The following is a 21,697-nucleotide window of genomic DNA, read 5'->3' as shown; positions in this document are numbered from 1 at the left end:
GTTTCACCATGTTGGCCAGGCTGGTCTCAAACTGACCTCAAGTGATCTTCCCGCCTTGGGTTCCCAAAGTGTTGGGATTACAGGCGTGAGCCACTGTGCCCAGTCAATTTATTCTTAAGACTGTCTTTTCATCATATTCATCATCTTTTTTCCAAAAGGGGCATCAAGCCGCATTTTTAGATCACAAATATCAATAAACCTATGCTTTTATAACTGCCTACGATTTAAATGCCTTTTTGTTTCCATAGGCATATATTAGATTTAATGATCCTTTGCAAGTTTTATTGAGCTTCTTGTTCTTTCAGGGATAGTGCATTGCTCTTTATTACTTACAGGCACTGTTAGGACTTTCAGCCCTGCCTTTCTTGGGGTGTTTCATGTTTTGGGGTTTTTTTGTTGATTTTACAGACAGGGTCTCACTCTGTCACCCAGGCAGGGGTGTAGTGGCACCATTCTGGCTCACTGCAGCCCCAACCTCCTGGGCTCAGGTGATTCTCCTTTCTCAGCTTCTCATGTAGCTAGGACTATAGGTGTATGCTACCTAAAATTTAAAAATTTTTTAAATTTTTGTAGAGACAGGGTCTCCCTATGTTGCCCAGGCTGGTCTTGAACTCCTGGACTCAAGGGATCCTCCTGTGTCAGTACCCCAAAGTGCTAAGATTACAAAGCCACTTGGCACAGCCCTTGTTCCGTACTAGTTGATTGAAAAAATATCTGAACAGCTGGGTGTGGTGGCTCATGCCTATAATCCCAGCACCTTGGGAGGCTGAGGAGAGAGGAGTGCTTGAGGCCAGGAGTTCAAGACCAGGTTGAACTGGTCAGACCAGTCTCTGACCAGACCCTGTCTCTACAGAAAGTAAAAAAAACAAAAACAAAAACGTTAGGCTGGGTGTGGTGGCTCACACCTATAATCCCAGCGCTTTGGGAGGCCGAGGTGGGTGGATCACTTGAAGTCAGGAGTTCGAGGCCAACCTGGCCAACATGGCAAAACCTTGTCTCTACTAAAAATACAAAAATTAGCCAGGCGTGGTGGCGGGCGCCTGTAATCTCAGCTACTTAGGAAGTTGAGGCAGGAGAATCGCTTGAACTCAGGAGGAAGAGGTTCCAGTGAGCCGAGATCACACCACTGCACTCAAGCCTGGGCAACAGAGCCAGACTCCATCTCAAAAAAAAAAAAAAAAAAGCCAGATATGGTGTTGTGTGGCTGTGATAGTACCAGGCTCTAGTACCAGCTACTTGGGAGGCTGAGGCAGGAGGATTACTTGAACTCAGAAGTTCAAGGTTACAGTGAGCCAAGATCACACCACTGCACTGCAGCCTCGACGACAGAGCGAGACTCCGTCTCAAAAAAAAAAAAAAAAAAAAAAAAAAAAAGAAATATATATAAAAACAAATATGCGGGGCTTCTCCTAGGCTTTATTTTTAGCAATAGAATTGCCAAAGACATTTCAGGCCATGGAAGTAAGCTTGTGGTTTTACTTATTCTAACTTTGTTTTTAGGATATCGTAGTATTTTTTGATGGGAATATCTTTTTTTTTTTTTTTTGGAGACAGGGTATCTCCCTGTGTCACCCAGGCTGGAGTGCAGTGGCCTGATAATGGCTCACTGCAGCCTCAACCTCCCAGTCGCAGATGATCCTCCTACCTCAGCCTCCTGAGTAGCCGGGAATACAGGCGCCTGCCACCATACCCAGCTAATTTTTAAATTTTTTTAGAGACGGGGCTTTGCCACATTGCCCAGGCTGGTCTCGAACTCTTGGGCTCAAAGAATTCACCTGCCTCAGTCTCTGAAAGGGTTAGGGTTACAATTGTGAGCCACTGCGTCTGGCCGGCAATATCTTCTATAAATATCAAGGCCTTCAATGGAAGAAGAGATGGTACTCTTTCCCAAGGATATTAAATGTTTCTAAGGACTGGAGTGAAGTTGAAGTAATACACTTAAAGTTAATCCTTTTTTAGAGTCTATATAAATTATTATGCCTGGTGCCTGGAAGTTGCATTTTCAGTTCTTATCTTTGATCTCATGTTTTACGATTAGATCGTATCAGGTACTTTTCCTATCCCCTTAAAATGAATGTAGTTTTTCCCTCTTGTCCCAAAATGTATTCTCTAAATGAAAATTTGAGAATAGAAAATCTTAGATTTTCAGCCTGTAAATAGCTTTTGTGTTCTTTTTTAGGAACTAGTAACCTATTTTCAAGAAACATGCTGTGTTAAAGGACAGAAGTGTGTGTCCTTTAAATCATGCTAGCTGATTAAAAGTTTGTTACTCTATTCCTCCCACCTTTTGGCTTTTCCCTCCTCATCCCATTGACATTCTTAAGATGGAAGGAAAAAGGCCTATTTTTTAGCTTGATTAAAACTTAATAGCTGAAGTAACCAAAACATTCATAAAATGAGGAGATTGAAACTGCTTACAGATATAATTTTTCTCTGGAGCATCCTAAATATTTATTCCTTGGTAATTTTTTTTTAAAGTATGTATATTAGTACTACTAGCCATTAGTAAATTTTAGTTATAGCTTTCCTCCCTTTCACTTAAATTTCCTGGAACATAAATTGGAAAATTTTTAAAATTTAGAATCTGTCTTGAATTTTTTGAGGTGACAGCTAGGTAGACATTAAAAGTAGATAGAATTTTTAAATCTTGAAAATAGAAATTATATTAAAAATGTTCTTTGTCACCTGTATCTGGAAGTTTGAAAGGTCGTGTAATTTCAACCATATTACATGGTAATTGGTGGAAAATAGTTGGATACTAGCTTCACCTATGTAATGTAAAACTTTGGTATTGGCTGGGTGTGGTAACCCATGCCTGTAATCTCAACACTTTGGGCGGCCAAGACTGGAGGATTGCTTGAACCTAGGGGTTTGAGACCAGCCTGGGCAACAAAGAAAGACCTTGTTTCTACAAAAAATTCAAAAGTTATCTGCTACTTTTAGGGCTGAGGTGGGAGGATTGTTTGAGCCCAGGAGGCTGAGGCTGCAGTGTGCTATAATCATGCCACTGTATTCCAGCCTGGGTGACAGAGTGAGACGCTGTCTCAAAAAAAAAAAAAAAAAGTTTGGTATTTAACACTTAAATTTGTTTTCTGCTGCCAGTAATGGAGATAATCTATTATCACTTTTTTTAGGGGTTTTTTTTTTTTTTTTTTTTTTTTTTGGAGATGGGGTCTTGCTCTGTTGCCCAGGATGGAGTGCAATGGCATGATTTTGGCATGATCACCTGCCTCCCGGATTCAGGTGATTCTCCTGCCTCAGCTTCCCAAGTAGCTGAGATTACAGTCACGTGCCACCACACCTGGCTAATTTTTGTATTTTTTGTAGAGATGGGGTTTTACCACATTGGCCAGGGTGGTCTCGAAGTCCTGACCTCAGGTGATCCACCCGCCTCAGCCTCCCAATCCAATCACCCTGGGATTACAGGGGTGAGCCACCGCACCCGTCCTTTAGTTACCTCTTAAAGTAAGTTGGGAAGGCCAGGCTCAGTGGCTCACATCTGTAATCCCAGCACTTTGGGAGGCTGAGGCAGGTGGATCACAAGGTCAGGAGATTGAGACCATACTGGATAACACGATGAAACCTCATCTCTACTAAAAATACAAAAAATTAGCAGGGCATGGTGGCATGTGCCTGTAGTCCCAGCTACTTGGGAGGCTGAAGCAGGAGAATTGCTTGAATCAGGGAGGTGGAGGTTGCAGTGAGATCATGCCATCGCACCCCAACCTGGGCGACAGAGCGAGACTCCGTCTTGCGGGAAAAAAAAGAAAAAAGTTGGGAAAGAGTTGATTTGTCCTGTTTTTCAAGGGAATAACTGTAGATTTCACTTTACTGAAATTAGTTAGAGACATTGTTATATTGACTGACAAGAGATTTCGTGGTACAATTTCCCACTGATCCATTAGGATTACAAAAAATTATCAGCTGTATGGGTGGCAAACACTTTTCTTCAGATTTTTCTTCAGTAAGATAAACCTCAATTCCAAGCATCACAGATTTTCTTGAAGCAGAAACTGTGCCTTACAAAAGTTTAGCACAGAAGCAGATGTTTTATGTAGTAGTGGAAGGGTTTAGAAATTGTTGTGTGGTCAGTTGTTTGGACTTCAGAATGCATTTCTCTATAAACATAAACAGGTTTTTTTTTGGCAAGTTCGTAAATGCTAGTTTGAATTTGTAATGTAGAGAAATACAGAAAGATCGTTCCTTTATTGCCCACCTTACAGATATGTGGACTTCCTTCCTTCCTTCCTTCCTTCCTTCCTTCCTTCCTTCCTTCCTTCCTTCCTCCCTCCCTCCCTCCCTCCCTCCCTTCCTTCCTTCCTTCCTTCCTTCTTTTTTTAAACTCCTCAGCTTGCTATTGACTGGTACCTCCTCTTCCCCCACAACAAAACAAAACTGAAAACCAGCCGACCTCCTCTGTGTGGAGATGGAGCTCTGCCTCTGCCCTCCTTTCAGAGGCCTCTGCCTCATCCTTTTCCATTTCCTATCCCACCTCTACCTCTTAACACGTCTCAGCCTGCTGTCTATTCTTTTTAGTTTTTGTTTTTAACTTTCTATTTGAAAATAATTTCAGACTTACAGAGAAGTTGAAAGAGTAGTTCAGGGAACTGCAGTATACCCTTCCCCCAGATCATGGAGGTAGTTAAAAAACCTCACGTTTTTACTGTTAAAATCATAGTATCGGTTTGAATCATGTTGGTTACCCATTGACTAGTTGTACGATCAGGTGACTTAATCTTTCAGAGTCCCACTGTCTTCACATGTAAGATGAGAATACTGATTCATTTGTTCCAGAGTCAAACCCAGGAATCCATACTCCTTTGAAGCACTTCTCAGGAGATTCTGATGGATGGCCAGCATTAGCAAATGAAGGCTTGTCCCCAACTCCAGTAACTAGTGTAAAAGTAGATCTGATCTTGTCCTTTGCAGCATGTGGAACTTCTTCTTTTTTCTTTTCTTTTTTTTTTTTTGAGACAGGGTCTCGCTTTGTCACCCACCTAGAGTACAGTGGCATGTTCAGGGCTCACTACAGCCTCGGCCTCTCTGTCTCAACCTCCTGAGTAGCTGGGACTACAGGCACGGGCCACCATGCCCTGCTAATTTTAAAATTTTTTGTAAAGACAGGGTCTCCTCCTTATGTTGCTTACGTTGAGGATGTGGAACTTCTGATGCAGTTCCAGGGTCTTTCATGTTTTTGAAACTTGAGTATGTTTACTTCAAAAATAGTTTTTGTGTTCTTCTATATTACTTAATTTCCTCCCTTCCCCAATACACAAATTAGGTATAATTTGTGTGCTTATATCCCTAATGCAGCTATAAAAGGCAGTTTATAAATTAATTTCAAACCAAACTACAAAACCAATAAAGTTCTGACTACCAACATTAATTTAATAGACTGGGCGATGATGTTGTGAAATAAGTAGCCGCTTGTGATGTAACTGTTACTGCTTCCTTATGGCCCATGTTCTTGGATGCTGGGATGGTGCCTGGTTTGTGTAGACGGCTGGATTCCTTGTAATGACTCGGTTTTCCTGTTGCTTTTCTTTCAGTTATTGCCACTCAGAAACCATCAGTGTAAATACAGCTTGCCATGAAGTGACTTTGCCTTTGTTTGGCATAAATGTGCCCTTGGCACATTGAGGCCATCTTGTTTATTTACCAGCTTGTGATAATTATGGTAGTACTACTTAGTTATATGTAAACTTAGAGCCAAAATCTTGTGCCTCTGAACTCTATTAATGAAGTTGTAAAACATGTAATTCCAAAAATGGATGTTAAAAATATTAAGGTATACATTGAAATGAAAAATAAAAGTGAGCCTCTCCTCTCCACCTCCCACTTCCAGTCATCTCTCGCTTCTGCCTGAGAGGCACTGTCAGCCAGCATCATTCTCACATCATGCCTCTGTACGTGTCTGTCCTCTTAGCTAGATTAAGAGAAGGGGCTGTGTTTCATTCACCTTTTTGTCCCCAGTGTCTGGAACAGCTCCTGGTTCAGAGAAATTGCCCCCTATCCATTGTATTGATAGTTTGTTTTAATTACAAGACAGAAAAGTCAGATTGATTTTTTTTTTAATCAGATGAAGAAATATTTCTTTTAAACCAATAAATTAAATGCATGGGACTGTTAACACAAAGGATAGCACTTAATACTGTCAAGAGAAAGATTGGCCAATACTAGCCAGAAAAATCTGCTGTGTGTAAGTTTTTTGGTTTTGTTTTTGTTTTTTAAAACGGAAGTGACTGTTGGGTGTCTCTCCACCTTGCTTTCTACCTCCCTTGTAAAGGAGAGGGGCACGAAACCAAACAAGTATTCCTGGCTATAGTTTTAGTAATTTTAGTGGGTAGACATCGGTATATAGCTCAAGTTTAGTTTTTTTTTTTTCTTTTTTTTTCCCCTGAACTATTGGAATTCTTATGGGCTTCTATAACTTATAAAACATATACATGCATATAAATTTTCCAGTGAACATAGCGTGAGGCTGTTTTATTATGTTTTCTTTTCCTTTTTTTTTTTTTGAGATGGAGTCTAACTCTTGTCACCAGGCTGGAGTGCAGTGGCGCAGTCTCAGCTCACTGCAGCGTTCACCTCCCAGGTTCAAGTGATTCTCCTGCCTCAGCCTCCCGAGTAGCTGGGACTACAGGCGCCCGCCACCACGCCTGGCTGATTTTTTTGTATTTTTAGTAGAGACGGGGTTTCACCATGTTGGCCAGGATGGTCTCGATCGCTTGACCTTGTAATCCACCCACTTCGGCCTCCCAAAGTGTTGGGATTACAGGCATGAGCCACCGCACCCAGACTGCTTTTCATTTCTTTATGTTTGGCCATTATGTAATGCTGATTTTTGGCCTTTCGAATTTTTATTAGAGAGAAGGGTACTGTGCTTTTACAACAGGTAAATGATTGCCACACAAAGGGTGCACTTTTGTTGTGAGGCTGCTGCCCTTGGTTGCAGCCTACAGACAGTGAAGTTTCTCTTCGATGCCTGATTAGAATGGAGAGCGCTGCTGCACTGCCATAGGGCCTTGTTAACGATGGATAGTTTGGATGGAAAGGCAGAAGGACCTAAAAAGGCAGCTGTCAAATGCCTTCGGTTCTCTCTAATAGAAGATGTGTGTCTGTGTGTGTGTTTGTGTGTGTGTGTGTGTGTGTGTGTGTGTGTGTGTGTGTGTTGACCTTGGACATGATGGCAGTTGGGATTAAGGTATCTCAATCCAAAGGATCATGGAAGGAAGATGTGTGTGTGTGTGTGTGTGTGTGTGTGTGTGTGTGTGTGTGTGTGGTGACCTTGGACATGAAGGCAGTTGGGATTAAGGTATCTCAATCCAAAGGATCATGGAAGGATGTTTGGGAATAACATCTTAAGGCAAATTACCAGCATAAATGATTGCTCCCACCTCCCACTCTCAAACAGTCTTGTCACCACAGTGACACCCACTGTCACGTGGTCTGTACCCCCCACTCCCTGGAAGGGGGTACTAATTATTCACAGCAACAGTGATAATGGATAGTAGGGTAGTGTAACTGGATTGGGGAACATTCCTCTCAGTGATGTAGTTTGATTTGTACTTGAATTAAAAAGTATTGGCTTGGCCAGGCATGGTGGCTCATCCCTGTAATCCCAGCACTTTGGGAGGCTGAGGAGGGTGGGTCACTGGAGGTCAGGAGTTGGAAACCAGCCTGGCCCACATGGTGAAACCCCATCTCTACTAAAAATACAAAACAGCCGGGCATGGTGGCGCACGCTAGTAATCCCAGCAACTTGGGAGGCTGAGGCAGGAGAACTGCTTGAACCCAGAAGGTGGAGGTTGCAGCAAGCCAAGATCACACCACTGCACTCCAACCTGGCTGACATAGCAAGACTCTGTCTCAAAAAAAAAAAAAAAAAAAAGTTTGGGAGACCGAGGCAGGCGGATCACAAGGTCAGGAGATAGAGACCATCTTGGCTAACACGGTGAAACCCCGTCTCTACTAAAAATACAAAAAATTAGCCGGGCATGGTGGCGGGCACCTGTAGTCCCAGCTACTCGGGAGGCTGAGGCAGGAGAATGGTGTGAACCCTGGAGGCGGAGCTTGCAGTGAGCCGAGATTGCACCACTGCACTCCAGCCTGGGTGACACAGCAAGATTCTGTCTCAAAAAAAAAAAAAAAAAAAAAAGTATTGGCTTGTTTTCAGTGTAATTTTTTCTGTGTTTTGAGTACTTTTTTAGTATTTAAAGATGCAGGGACACTTTTGAATTAATATTACTGCTAACTTTAGTATTTGGTTAATTTTCTCTGGAAGGTGGGGGACTTTCTGATCTTCCTATGTCAGGATAAGGAAATAATGACTGATTTCGCTATCACTTCCCCCTGGCTTTTTCTTTTGTTACTGGCATTGTCTTGGATATATTACAAATATCCACAGATGTCCAGAGAATTGGCACAGCTATTATTATGATTTTCAATCTGCTCTTAAGATACTGAGCAGATTTCTTAACAAACAAGTTGGAAATGCACAAAGATATCTGATGAATTGTTAAAAAATTCTTAAAGAAAAACAGCTGGCAAATGGTAATTGATAGATAGATGTGTTTAATCTGTAGGACTTGAAGTGCTGCTATGGTGTATTAGTCTGTTCTCAGGCCACTAATTAAGACATACGGAGACTGGGTGATTTTTATAAAGGAAAGAGGTTTAATGGACTCTCACAGTTCCATGTGGCTGGGTAGGCCTCACAATCATGGTGGAAGGCAAAGGAGAAGCAAAGGCACATCTTAAATGGTGGCAGACAAGAGAGTTTGTGCAGGGAAACTCCCATTTATGAAACCATCAGATGTTGTGAGACGTATTCTCTACCATGAGAACAGTGTGAGGGAAACCGCCGCCGTGATCCATTTATCTCCACCCAGCCCCCGTCCTTGGCACGTGGGCATTATTACAGTTCAAAGTCAGATTTGGGTGGGACACAGCCAACCATATAATATGGTTACTGTGGTTTAAGTAGGCAGACACATCTGTGAGACCAGGAGTTTCTCTACAAATGGATGAGGAATGGCACAGAATCCTAGGTGACAGTTTAAGGATTGCATGGCAGAAAAGGCTCTGTGATTAAATTCTCTGATGTTGTCACTGAGCTGTAAGGCTGGAGATAAGACTGTCTCCTTCTGCTGAAAATAAGAATCAATACTCACTCCTTGATGGGCTAAACTATTAAAAAGAGCCCTTCTTACAATGTTTCATTATCTGGGATTTGCCTCAGCTGGTGATTTGTTGGTGGCACAGGGAGATTTGTGAGGCATTTCATATTAAAATTAGTCAGTAGCCGGTGAATCCCTTTAGATAATTCTCTTCCGTTTTACAGTGCTCCTGAATAGATTTGTGATTTATTTTTGCCTAAGTAGCTTTGTGTTTTTTTGGAATTATTAAAAGAGGGTTGGACATCTATACACTTTTTTTAACCTTGTTTTTCCTCATATTCTCTGTGTTTAACAGTTTAGTATTGGCCTTAGCAAAAAACATCAAATATATTTGCGTGGTACATTGACCTGACACTTGATTAACACACGTTGAACTTGATGTTTTTCCCGTATGAAGGAAGTTATACAAGAAGTTGGCCTTGCTTTTTTCGTTGATTTTAACCGTGGACAGGGTTGGGGTTGTTAATTGTTAGGTGGCTGGTAGGATTTCAGCTCCTCGATTGAAAAAGAAAAACAGCCCATCTCGTGAACCTCAGTGACCAAAAGAAATGGTCACTGTGTCATTTGGGTGCTTGTTGTGTCTCATCCCAGTGTAGTGTGATGGCTAGGGAGCAAAGAGAAGGCGAGCCTCTGAGGGTGACCCCTGCCCCGCTGTCCGCCAGGCTGGGAGAAGTTCTGCAGGAGGTCCTGTCATGGGCAGTGCTTACTGGGCTTGTCAGTTGGAACAGCACAATTGCAGTCTGCTGGGGGATGTTTGCAGCCTTCTGCCTTCTGTCTAAGGAGAGTTAAGACTCTCTACTTCAGTGTTTTGAAGTCAGTGCTGTGGTATATTTACATTCTGCTGGTGGAGACAGTACTGTTCATGAAAGATTTTTTGGTTCAGCCTCAGGAAGAGTATGGGCAAAGCTGTGTTAGAAGACGTTGATCTCTGTAGCAAAACCATGAGGTGAGGCTAAAGAACAGTGTAATCTCACATTTCTGCTTCCCTGAAAAACTCATCAGATTTAAAAATCCTTTTCTCTGGCATGGAGGGGAGAGGGTTGAGTGGGAAGGGAGACTGATTAACAAAGGACAGAAAGAGACAGAGGTCTTTGAAATCCAGATGGTCGACTTCTAGTAACAGAGCATTGGATGTGGTTTCTGTGTGTGGAATCCAGCCCTGGTGGGTGTCCAGCTGCCATGAGAGGCTGTGGAGTGAGGGAGGACCGTCCTGGAAGAAACAGAGTCAGGTCTGGTTCCTGTGTGAGAGTCATTGGAGAGAACCGTGCTGCCTCAGAACGGTGCAACCCACCCAGCACCCAGCTCCGTGACGTTGCTTCTGCTGGAGGGCCGGGAATGCCCTTCACGTCCCACCTGTCACCTGCTGGAATCAGCGCCATCTTCTCATAGGTGGTTAACTGTTTTCTCTTCTCTCCAGTGTGTTCCTGGTTGGATGTTTCCTGTTTCCCCTACCAGATTCACAGCTCGTATGTTCGTTCCTGCTTAGTCCATGGGAGGGAGTCTGGGAGCAAGAGCGAGGTGGCAGTACAGCAGGCTGGCTTGCTGTACGCTTTATAATTCCAGCGAGGAAATCTTTCGAATACACACTTGCATTCTGTCACAGTAATGTGGAGAACACATCTAGGGTTTTCAGCTTGTTTTATTCAGCTGCCTGGAGTAGTTAAAATTTTTCTGAGCATATTGCTTCCCCCAACCCCATGAGGCGGGAAAGAGATGTTTAGAGACATATTTCTCTTTTAGGAAGAAATGCAGAACCACTGAGACCTGGACAACTGTTGGTCTTATTTTCTGCTTGGATGAGATACCTTCCTGCTATTTCTTAAGGAAATATAGTTATCCATCCTCACAGTCACAGCTGAATACCAGGCAGTTGGTTGAGTAGTGAGTTCTTCTGGAAGATGGACGGGAAAACTGTCAACAGGATTGATCATTAAAAAAAAAAAATCCAGTGAAATGTTTATTTAAAAAATTAATTGAACTCCCTTGCTTTTAGAGACTTGACTATTGTCCAGATCAGATCTTGTTTCGAGTGTGCACATTCATATATAACAGGGCTGTGAATCAGACTGGGAAAGCCTGTGCTGCAGACATTCTTCCCTCCCCATGACAGCAAACACAGGACAGGGGGTTCTTAGCACGTTGTCAGATAAATTCTTTTCTATCTGCGTGTTTTAATTATGGAATTTTAATGTTGATTTTCATTCTGTTTTCCAATCCCATATATTTTTTCCTTCTCATTGGCTTATTGTGTGGGTTATCATTTCAGTGACCTGGTTTGACAAGAGGCAACACAAATTTCTTTGAGAATTCAAATGTCCATTTAAAAATTAGCATCAGGGGCTGGGCACAGTGGCTCACACCTGTAATCCTGGCACTTTGGGAGGCTGAGGCAGCGGGTGGATTGCTTGAGTTCAGGAGTTCGAGACCAGCCTGGGCAACATGGCAAAACCCCGTCACTATAAATAATATAAAAATTAGCTGGGCATGGTGGCACACACCTCTAGTCCCAGCTGCTTAGGAGGCTGAGGCCAGAGGGATCAGTTGAACCTGGGATGCTGAGGCTGCAGTGAGCCACGATCACGCCACTGCGCTCTGGCCTGGGTGACAAAGGAAGTCCCTGTCTCAAAAAAAAAAAAAAATCAGCATCAGTACAAATTAAATGATTAAGCATTTGCTGTTTTAACTACATATGAGAGAGATAACCCAGTTAACTTTTCCTTTTATTGGCTCGTGCCCTGGGCATCTGTCATGTTAATGCTTTTGACCTTTCTTAAAGATTATTAAAGGTGAAATTTCTTGCAGGTCAGGGGGATTTGTACTTGAACACCACCAGGTACCTTGTGGCAGCGCTGTTTCCAAAGATAGACACGCTGTGTGGTAAATCTTTTCAGTTAATTCATTAGAGAAAATTGTTTTCTGGCCAGGTGTGTTAGCTCACACCTATAATCCCAGCACTTTGGGGAGTTGGAGATGGGAGGATCACTTGAGGCCAGGAGTTTGAGACCAGCCCTGGCAACTTAGCAAGACCTTGTCTCTACCAGAAAAAAAAAAAAAAAAGCCAGACATGGTAGCTTGTGGCTATAGTCCCAACTACTTGGGAGGCCACAGACAAGAGAATTGCTTGAGCATAGGAGGTCCAGGTTATAGTGAGCTTATGATTGTACTACTATACCCCAGCCTGGGTAACAGAGCAAGACCCTTAGTTAAATTAAAAGAGAGAGAGAAAGAGTAATTTATTTTCCTACAGACTAGGTTTGTCTGTAAGAGAAAATATCAGTGCAATTCACTGGATTTTAATGTCATATTCTGACTTGTGTCTGAGAAACTGATTGGAGATGGTTTGTATTTGGGTCAGCTTTTTAAAAGACAAATCTTATGTCTCATGAATTAAGACTACATGTGTATACACAGCAAAGTGTTTATGAGGCAGAAAGCTTGCTCCTACCAGTTTCTAGAGGAGAGCTATCCTGTTTTTTGCTGCTGCTCAGCCAGCTGATTCTGAACATTCTTACTATTGGTTATTTTTGTACTCAGGGACAGCAAGCTTTTCCTATTAGGGGCCAGATAGTTTTTTCAGTTTTATTTTCTGTATGGCAACTACTCAACTTAGCCATAGACAATTTGTAAACAAATGAGCATGACTGTGTAGCCGTGTTTCAGTGAAACTTTATTTTACTGAATCACTTTATTTCTAGTGGATCAGTAGAGTCCAGGTGGTGTCTGGACATGGCCTGTGGGCCTGTAGTTTGCTGAAGCCTGAGCTGGTATAAACTTTTGGGGATTAGTGCCCTGAAGGAGTCACTCCAAAACTTACTTGCTTTCTTCATTGTAGCCTTGTGCCTGTGTAAGGTTTGAGGGTCATTTGCAGAGTTAGTGGGAATTGCATTTCTTCTTTCCTATATTATTTGAGTTGATGCATCCTTTTTTAAAATATATCTATATCTCTACCAATACATCCCTCTAACCACTCCTCCTTCCATTAATTGTTTTTTGTATAGTGTACTAGTGGATAGGTATTGTAAGAACTCATTTTTACTAATGATCTTTAAGGATTTTTATAACATGTTTAAATGCTAGGAGCAATTAAATATTGCTTAAACATGCTTTTTCATCTTTTTTCTTTGGCAGTTTGTTTCTGAAGGGAAAATATGACAGGAAAATATGTACATAATAAAATACAATTAAAATAATACATTAAAATAAATACATAAAATACATAAATACATAAAAATAAATACATTAAAATAATACATAAAAATAAAACATTAATAATAAAATACATTAAAGTTTGTCTGAATTTTTCTTGTGTGTGTGTACTTTTTTTAATGTTGTAACAAAATATTCAGGACAACAGAAAAGTTTTTATTGGTATTTAATGATAAATATAACTTTTCTGTTTAATATTTAACAGTTAAGTATGGATATGGACAAATGCTTTAGCATTTTTTTTTTCAGATGAAATAAAATGGTTGATACCCACATAGGCAAAGAAATTTTACCCAAAGAAAAGTTAGTCCACAGTCACAGATAACATGGTAGATCCAAACCAGCAGCTTTTTTTTTTTTTTTTTGGACACGGTCTTGCTCTGTCACCTAGGCTGGAATGAGTGGTGTGATCATAGAGCACTGCAGCCTTAAGCTCCTGGGCTCAAGCGATCCTCCTGCCTCAGCCTTTTGAGTAGCTGGGACCACACAAGCACATGCCACCACACCTGGCTAATTTTGTAATGTTTTGTAGAGATGAAGTCTCACTATGTTGCCCAGGCTGGTATCAGGCTCCTGGCCTCAAATGATCCTCCTGCCTTGGCCTCCCAAGGCACTGGGATTAACAGGTGTGAGCCACTGTGCCTGGCCCCCGCAGCTTTTTAATAATATGCTTTTGCTCATCAGGGCCTCCTGGAAGTGAGTGGGGATGGCTCTCTGCCAACCTTCTTTACCATCAAAAGAATGGTTCAGAGCGCATCTGATTGCCAGTGATTCTCAGAAGTCTTATTTATGCTAAAGGATAATATGTTACTATTAACCATGACATTATTATTCAAACTGTCTTAAACATTATTATTTATTAATATATTGTATTTACATCTAGTATTAGTTGAGACTATATGTTATATGTAGAGGCTCAAATGTTGAGACTATATTGTAGTATTTGCTCATAGTTCACTTGCTATATTGCTGGCTAAATTATTATAAAAATTGTCTGTGGTTTCTGCGCCTCTGTCTACTTTCACAGATGCTTTGTTACCACTGTAAAATGCAGTACATTCTCACTGTAGCCATTAAATCTGATTTTATATTAACTAGTTGACTGTGACATTTTTGTTGTATCTTTCTACCCAGTGGCATACACATTTTATGTAGTTTGTTGTAAGTACACACCTCTGATCATTTACAGCGTATTTTATGTACAGTCGTGATGAGATGATTTCACTTCATGGAGAGGTGAGTTGTTTTGGAAAGGGTACCTAGCTGGCTTTTGTTTGCGGGTCTATACTTGCTGGCTGTGTTACTTTAGACAAGCTATTTAACCTTTTAGGACATTAGTTTCCATAGCTGTCAAACCAAAATAATACCCATGCTACATGCTTCATAGGGTTATTCTCATGTGAGAATAAAAAGCGATAATGTAGTGCTGTGACATTTTTGTAGTGGTCTGCAAAATGGGAGCGTCAGTTGTTGTTCGGATTGGCTGTTTATTATATAACCCCAAATCGTAGTTGTTTAAGATAAACATCTATGTTCTCATATAAAATGAGGTGTTTTCAGGGTGTGCTGCCCCGGGTTGGTAGAGTGACCTAAACCTCAGGTATCTAGTCTCCTCCTGTCTGCCCCGGTGCATGGTTTTCTTCTCAAGGTCTCGCCATGGTCCCAGATGGTGGCTGGAGCCACAGCCCCTAAAGTCCATGCTCTAGACCAGTGCTATTCAAATGGTGGCTCACCAATAGGACTGTTTGCTACCAGTCCACCAGGAGATGAATAGAGAAGCTGAAAGTATCTGTTTAGAAACTTTTCTAGCCGTTTAACATTGTAAAAATCACTGCTCTGCAGTGGATTGGGGGACACTGGTCCTCCATCCCAGCCAGGCAGCTGAAGGAGGGTGTATTAGTCTGTTCTCATGCTGCTAATAAAGCCATACCTGAGACTGGGTCATTTATAAAGGAAAGAGGTTTAATTGGCTCACAGTTGCACATGGCTGGGGAGGCCTCACAATCATGGCAAATAAGGAGGCAAATAAGGAGCAAAGTCATGTTTTACATGGTGGCAGGCAAGAGAACGTGTGCAGGGGAACTCCCCTTTATAAAACAATCAGATCTCATGAGACGTATTCACTATCACAAGAACAGCACACGAAAGACCCACCCCCATGATTCAGTCACCTCCCACTGGCTCTTTCCCACAACACATGGGAATTATGGGAGCTACAATTCAAGATGAGATTTGGGTGGGGACACAGCTGACCCTTATCAGAGGGGCACACAGCAAAAGCTATTTTAGGCCCATTCCAGAGCTTTTCCAGTAGCCGTGCCTAACAACTTTGGTTTACTGTGCTCCAGTAACGTAGGTGCTCTGTTATTATGGAAAATGGGGAGAATGGACGTTGAATGGGGAACAAGCACTCTCTGCCACAGTTGGACATGTCTGAAACCAGTCGCACCATTCAGCACAGAATGAGATCCACAAACAGCCCAGTTCCTGAGTAGTAATGACCCCAAGGTTGTAGCCATTTCTTGGGATTAGGAGAACTATTGCATATCTCAGATGGAAAAACATGTGAAGAATACCAAAACAGAGTAGAATGATAGAAGAGATTACATGGCGATTGTAGGTAAGAACAGTTTCAACACGTTTTACATGTATTTGTATTTTAATGATTTAGAACTAAATTTATGAATTGAATTTCTGTTCATTTTCTTAAACAAACATGGATTATCTCCACGCAAATATGATTAAGTTTGATTCTCCTAGGATAGGGTGTAAAAGTAGAACTCTGCGCAAAGATGACTTTTTTCTTTTGAGATGGGATCTCACTATGTTTCCCAGGCTAGTCTTGAATTCCTGGCCACAAGCATTCTTCTCACTTAGGCCTCCCAAAGTGCTGGAATTACTGGCGTGAACCACTGCACCAGCCAAAGATGGCTTTTAAAAGATTTTTTTTTAGGCTGGATGCAGTGGCTCATGCCTGTAATCCCAGCACTTTGGGAGGCCGAAGCGGGTGGATCACTAGAGCCCAGGAGTTTAAGATAAGCCTGGGCAACGTGGTGAAACCCGATCTCTACAAAAAAGTACAAAAATTAGCCGGGCATGGTGGTATGCACCTGTAGTCCCAGATACTTGGGAGGAAGAGGTAGGAGGATTGCTTGAGCCTGGGGAGGTCGAGACTGCAGTGAGCCAAGATTACAGCATCGCACTCCATCCAGCCTGGGTGACAGACAGAGACGGTGTCTTTAAAAAAGAAAAAAAAAGTACCTTTTGCTGGTTTGGAAGGGCAGGAGCCTGTTATGTCTTGCATGTAAATGCATTTAGGGTGGAAGTGTAGTAGGGAGGGTTTTAAAGACAAGTTGCTAAACATGAAATGGCCTGTGATTTAGTTAAATTGTTGATGTTTTCAGTTGTATTTCTTTGTTCCTTTTCATTGAGGAGGGAAGTACTGTAAAATGTCTTTACTGTGAAGGTACTACTTCACATTAGCATTACAGTGTTTTTTCCTTCTATAAAAATCTTTGTTTCCTTTCAGTGTGTTAAGCCAAAGTTTATTAAACCCTCACCTTACGTATCATTTTATAGTAGGCACCTTTAGAGGAAGGGATTAAATGAATGGTAGCAGCATCTTTAAGACAGGATCTGAGTTCTTTCCCTCAGCATGTGCAGATTTCTGTGGGAAGGGCAGGACATACGTTAGATGTGTTTCACAAGAAAGCAGTGCATTTGGCATAGTAAGTGTGAACTGCGAAGGAAGCATGCGTGATGGAACCTGTCAGTTGATAATGCTAAGGAGGAGAATTTGGAGTGAATTTGGAGTTGGCTTAGACAGGTTTGAAAAGGAGAGAAAAGTGGATTCTAGGTGTAGAAACTAGTACTCCTAAGTCTTCTTGGTTTAGCCAGGAGGCAACTGCTTCCTGGAGTTGTCGTCCTGTGGATAATTTCCAGTCACTAACTGGATTTGGATTGTGGGAACATGTTAGGGCAGGGTTCATTAGGTGGCTATATAGACAGTTTGCATTTTGCATTGAAAATAGGTGATGATACTTGGATTTTCATCTAATGGCATAAATTGGCTTTTCTTTTCTTTTTTTTTTTTTTAAAGCAAAAAGAGTGCTGATGGCCATTTGCAATTCACTGTCAATGGGTGGTCAAAAACAGCCAGTGGCTTCTGGGAGGGTCAAGATTTTTCTTGCTTTTACACCATCTTTCTCTTGACCATTCTTTTTGTACAATATATAACTTTTCTACTTGTTTTATCCCAGAAAAGCCTCTTCACATCAGTAAGTTATTTATAGAGAAAGGCGTTCCTTATCTGGCAGCTCAGGTGGTTTGATCTTTACTTTCTTGTTGCCCCGTGGAGGCTGGGACATGATGTAGTAGATCTGATGTCAGCGCCACAGAAATCTCTTGCAGCCTTCTCTTCAGAGTCTCAGTTGGAAGAGGTCTGCTGGCTTTCCTCTTTATAGTGAACACACATTTGGGAAGCTTGTGCTCAGTTCTTAACATCTGATATAGCCAAGTAACTTTTCAGTTGCTCCACACACTGATGGAATAATACAGTGCAGTCGGGATAGTTTGCAGACTCTTTCTACTCAGCAGTTCTTCAGCTGTTTCTAGAAAAAGAAACTGCTAGAGGATTCTGGGTGAGAGCAGGCGTGTGGTCCCTCAGAGGGAAGCAGCAGCTGTGAATCAGCGTGGCTGAGAAGGCTGCAAGAGTGGGAAGAAGTCAAGGAACCTCACAGGTAAGTGAAGGAAATGCAATTCAAGGACTAGATTTTCCAGAACAGCAAACAGACAGTGTGCCTGGAAGCCTTCGTATTTCGTAAGTGTGGACTAATTAAGATTTTTAAAATTTCAGGTTCCAATTTGGAAAGCTTAAAGGCATAGTTTGTATACTATTTCCAGCAGCATAGGTACCAGAATGAGAATACCAGAGGCACTAACTTGGCCTTTGAGGGAACATGACCGGTGGGCCGCACTGCATTTCCATTTGTTCCCAGGGCATCTCTGGCCTTCAGCTGAAGTCTCTGCAGTTTCATAAAATTTGTTTCCTGAGTTAATTTACCTCCCCAAATGGAATTTAAGCCTCTTGAGGGAGAAAACAGTTTTAAACATTTCTGACATTCTCTGTGGTCCATAGTACTGTTGAGTGTGGATTGTGGACTCTTTTTGATTTGATGGCTTTGTGCTGTATCCCTGAGTGGTTGACTCATTTTTTGTCAGGTGTTCGAATGGCACCTATTCTGGGAGGTTTTTCTTACCATTTTATTCAGGCCCCACCCCTTTTCCTTCTTAGTCATTTTCTAAGATACTGCTCAGTTTTCATATCTTTATTGTTTTTATGGCACTGATTATCATCTGAAATTACCTTGTTGGTTTGTTTACTTGTTCTGTCTGGCCAGCTCTCAGATGGATTTACCCCAAAAGCAATGGTGGTAGGAGTGTTCCTGCAAGGGACTGACTTAGTCCTGAGGTGGTGCTGATTAGGATTCCAAAGAAAGAAGCACTAAACAGCAGGGCAAAAAAAGCATTTATTAGGGGAACTTACACACAGAGGGCTGTACCACACTTGCGATAGACATTGAGACAAGAGATGTTCTACCTAGATGTGTCTATGAGGAGGGGTCAGGTTATAGAGTTTATATGAGGGTTTGAGGAATTCGATTCGTGGTCGGAACCAGTTTCTGTGAGTTTTGCCACATTTGGTCTTGCAGTATTTCAGCAGTGCCTGGGAATGGCTAAGCCCTCAGCTTGGGCTCAAGCCTTCAAGGCAAAACTTGCAGCTGTCCAGGTCACAGAACTGTGAAGGCACCCTGTGTTTCTCAGCACAAAGAAAGAAAGTGGGAGGAACTAGGGGGCAAACTCTTGTTTGCCTTTCTCCAATAAAATAAATTTGAGAGCAAGACCTAATCTGTCTTATTCTGTGACTATCACAGGACCTAGCACTTAGTTAGATATTCAATAAATAGGGCGCCAAATGAATGCATAAAAAATAAATAAAAATGTGAGTAAATACTTGGAATTTAGCAAGCTGATTATTTGGTTTTTATCTATTACTTGGTCAGTAGTGTTTGTTTGTTTGTTTTTGAGACAGGGTCTCACTCAGTTTCCCATGCTGGAGTGCAGTGGCTTGATCTTGACTCACTGCAACCTCCACCTCCCAGATTCAACTGATTCTTCTGCCTCAGCCTCCCAAGTAGCTGGGATTACAGGCATGCACCACCATACCTGAATACATTTTTTATTTTTAGTAGAGACCAGGTTTCACCATGTTGGCCAGGCTGGTCTAGAACTCCTGACCTCAGGTGATCTGCCCACCTCAGCCTTCCAAAGTTCTGAGATTACAGGTGTGAGCCACCACGCCTGGCCTTGTCAGTAGTTTTTGTTTGTTTGTTTGTTTTTTGGGACAGAGTCCTGCTCAGTTGCCCAGGCTGGAGTGTAGTGGCACCATCTCAGCTCACTGCAACCTCCGCCTCCCCAGTTGAAGTGATTCTCCTGCCTCATCCTCCCAAGTAGCTGGGATTACAGGTGCCTGCCACCACACCCAGCTGATGTTTGTATTTTTAGTAGAGATGGGGTTTCACCATGTTGGCCAGGCTGGTCTTGAACTCCTCACCTCAAGTGATCTGCCTGCCTTGGCTTCCTGAAGTGCTGGGATTACAGGCATGAGCCACTGTGCCCAGCCTCAGTCAGTAGTTTCTTAAGCCATGTTTTAAGGTGGTACATTTTGGGGGATCACTATGGAAGATGTCCAAAGGGAGGTTCTGTGAGAGAAGCTCTGGGCTCCTGTTTCTACTTGAGGGATGATTTAGCAGATAAGTTCATGATCAAAAGTATTTCATAAAGATTTTGTTTGGCATCTTGCATCCTTATTTCTTCTTTCCTGATATTACTTAGTTACCATTATTTCAAGTTACTGACAGAATTTGGGCCAGCTTATCTTTTTATCCTGTAATGTATGTGTTTTTGTCTGCTCAAGATTTGGCTGCCTTTTGGGTCAGGGGGTCACTCCTCATAGAGTCAGTGGGATGCCCTAGGCCAGAGTTACATAAAACCAAGCATGGCCACCCAGAGAGACTGGACGAGGCGACGACCCTTCGATGAGGGGTTTGGGAAGGGTAGGCCTTGGGACTTCTCCAGCCCAGGCACTTTGAGGGACTTTTGATGAATTTAAAAAGTCAGACGTGTTTCTGAAAAAGAGAAGGCCTGCTAGAATATGTTAAATTTGCAGATTAGAATATAAATGAGAGTTTTCAATGATTTACTTTAAATTTCCCCATTGTGTTAATTGGTCTTTTGAAATGTTTTTATTAAATTCAGCCAGCATTTATTAAATAAATACTGCATGAAGAACAGTCCATTGCGCAGGAGGGAAAAGAAATGAATTAGTCTGCCTATCAAGAATGGCCAGCTCCATGAAGGGAGAGACATCTGCTTGTTTTGTTTACTGCTGTGGCTTCAGGCTTTACAGTGCATGGCACATAGTGGGAACTTAATGTGTGTTTGTTGAATGTAAGAATATGAGTAAGATACGGCATCTGCACGCAGAGTGTTTCAAAGCGAGTAACACTAATGAAACATGTCTTTCAGGGTCCCAACATACCCTGCAGAGAACAGAGCTTGGGGAAGTGTGAGAGTGGTTTCTGAGGGAAGGACTTAGTCAAAGTACGAGCTTTTAAGGTGGGACTCACAAGGTTGGAAAGAATTTGACTGGAGAATAGAAAAACTTTTTAGACAAAGAATAGAGGCAGAATATTTTTGTTGAATGTTGGAGTCCAGCTTGGTTTGGTAAAGAGAGTGGTGGGGGATAGAACTGGAAAGGTGTGCTGAGCTCTGAAAGCTGAGAAACTAGATTTTATTTGTTGGTCACTGGGGAGCCAAGATCGTGTTTTAGCAGATGAGTATGTGATCAGAATTCCTCTTTAAGAAAGATTAGAGATAGAGCAAATTGGGAAGCTACTGAGACAGTTCACATGAACTGTATGAGGGGTCTGACCCAGAATGCTGTTAGAGTTAGTGGTGGAGGGGAGGGATGTGAAGTTAACAAGCAGTGTTTATCTGCTTTGCAACAAAAATGTGTCTTTGCTGTCAGTGATTTGTATTGTAGATAGGGAACAGTTAGAATTCAGTGGAATAATTTGAGGTAATTATTAGATGCACTGGGGCTGGAAGGAACTCCTTGTAGTGTTCCCTTGTAAGGGTCAATGGAAATGATTCTGGTTTTGCAGATTGGGAATAGAGGCTCAGAGATGTTCAGTAATTTTCCTAATGTCACATAGTATGAGAGCCAGATTTCGAACCCAAGTCTCCATAAT

At 42.0% G+C, this 21,697-nt stretch overlaps 1 protein-coding gene across 2 annotated transcripts in view, besides 3 other annotated features; it reads left to right on the top strand.

The window, feature by feature from the left end:
• Positions 1–21,697, top strand: part of RERE (arginine-glutamic acid dipeptide repeats) — a 465,237-nt gene that overhangs the window by 208,732 nt on the left and 234,808 nt on the right. The gene's annotated exons all lie outside the window — the stretch shown is intronic.
• Positions 4,380–4,519: an enhancer, noted in NCBI's record as "active region_106". NCBI's record gives its function as "activates an Ori minimal core promoter by ATAC-STARR-seq in GM12878 lymphoblastoid cells {active_cell/tissue: GM12878}" and the evidence as "EXISTENCE:reporter gene assay evidence [ECO:0000049][PMID:35858748]".
• Positions 4,830–4,929: an enhancer, noted in NCBI's record as "active region_105". NCBI's record gives its function as "activates an Ori minimal core promoter by ATAC-STARR-seq in GM12878 lymphoblastoid cells {active_cell/tissue: GM12878}" and the evidence as "EXISTENCE:reporter gene assay evidence [ECO:0000049][PMID:35858748]".
• Positions 9,978–10,477: an enhancer, noted in NCBI's record as "H3K4me1 hESC enhancer chr1:8658491-8658990 (GRCh37/hg19 assembly coordinates)". NCBI's record gives its function as "activates a minimal SCP1, AML or CMV promoter by ChIP-STARR-seq in naive H9 embryonic stem cells {active_cell/tissue: H9 hESC(naive)}" and the evidence as "EXISTENCE:reporter gene assay evidence [ECO:0000049][PMID:30033119]".

The sequence above is a fragment of the Homo sapiens genome, chromosome 1 (assembly GCF_000001405.40).
Source record: "Homo sapiens chromosome 1, GRCh38.p14 Primary Assembly".
Classification (NCBI taxonomy): Eukaryota; Metazoa; Chordata; class Mammalia; order Primates; family Hominidae; genus Homo; species Homo sapiens.
The sequence above is the reverse complement of the archived record's forward strand: the minus strand, read 5'-3'. Positions and strand labels throughout refer to the sequence as shown.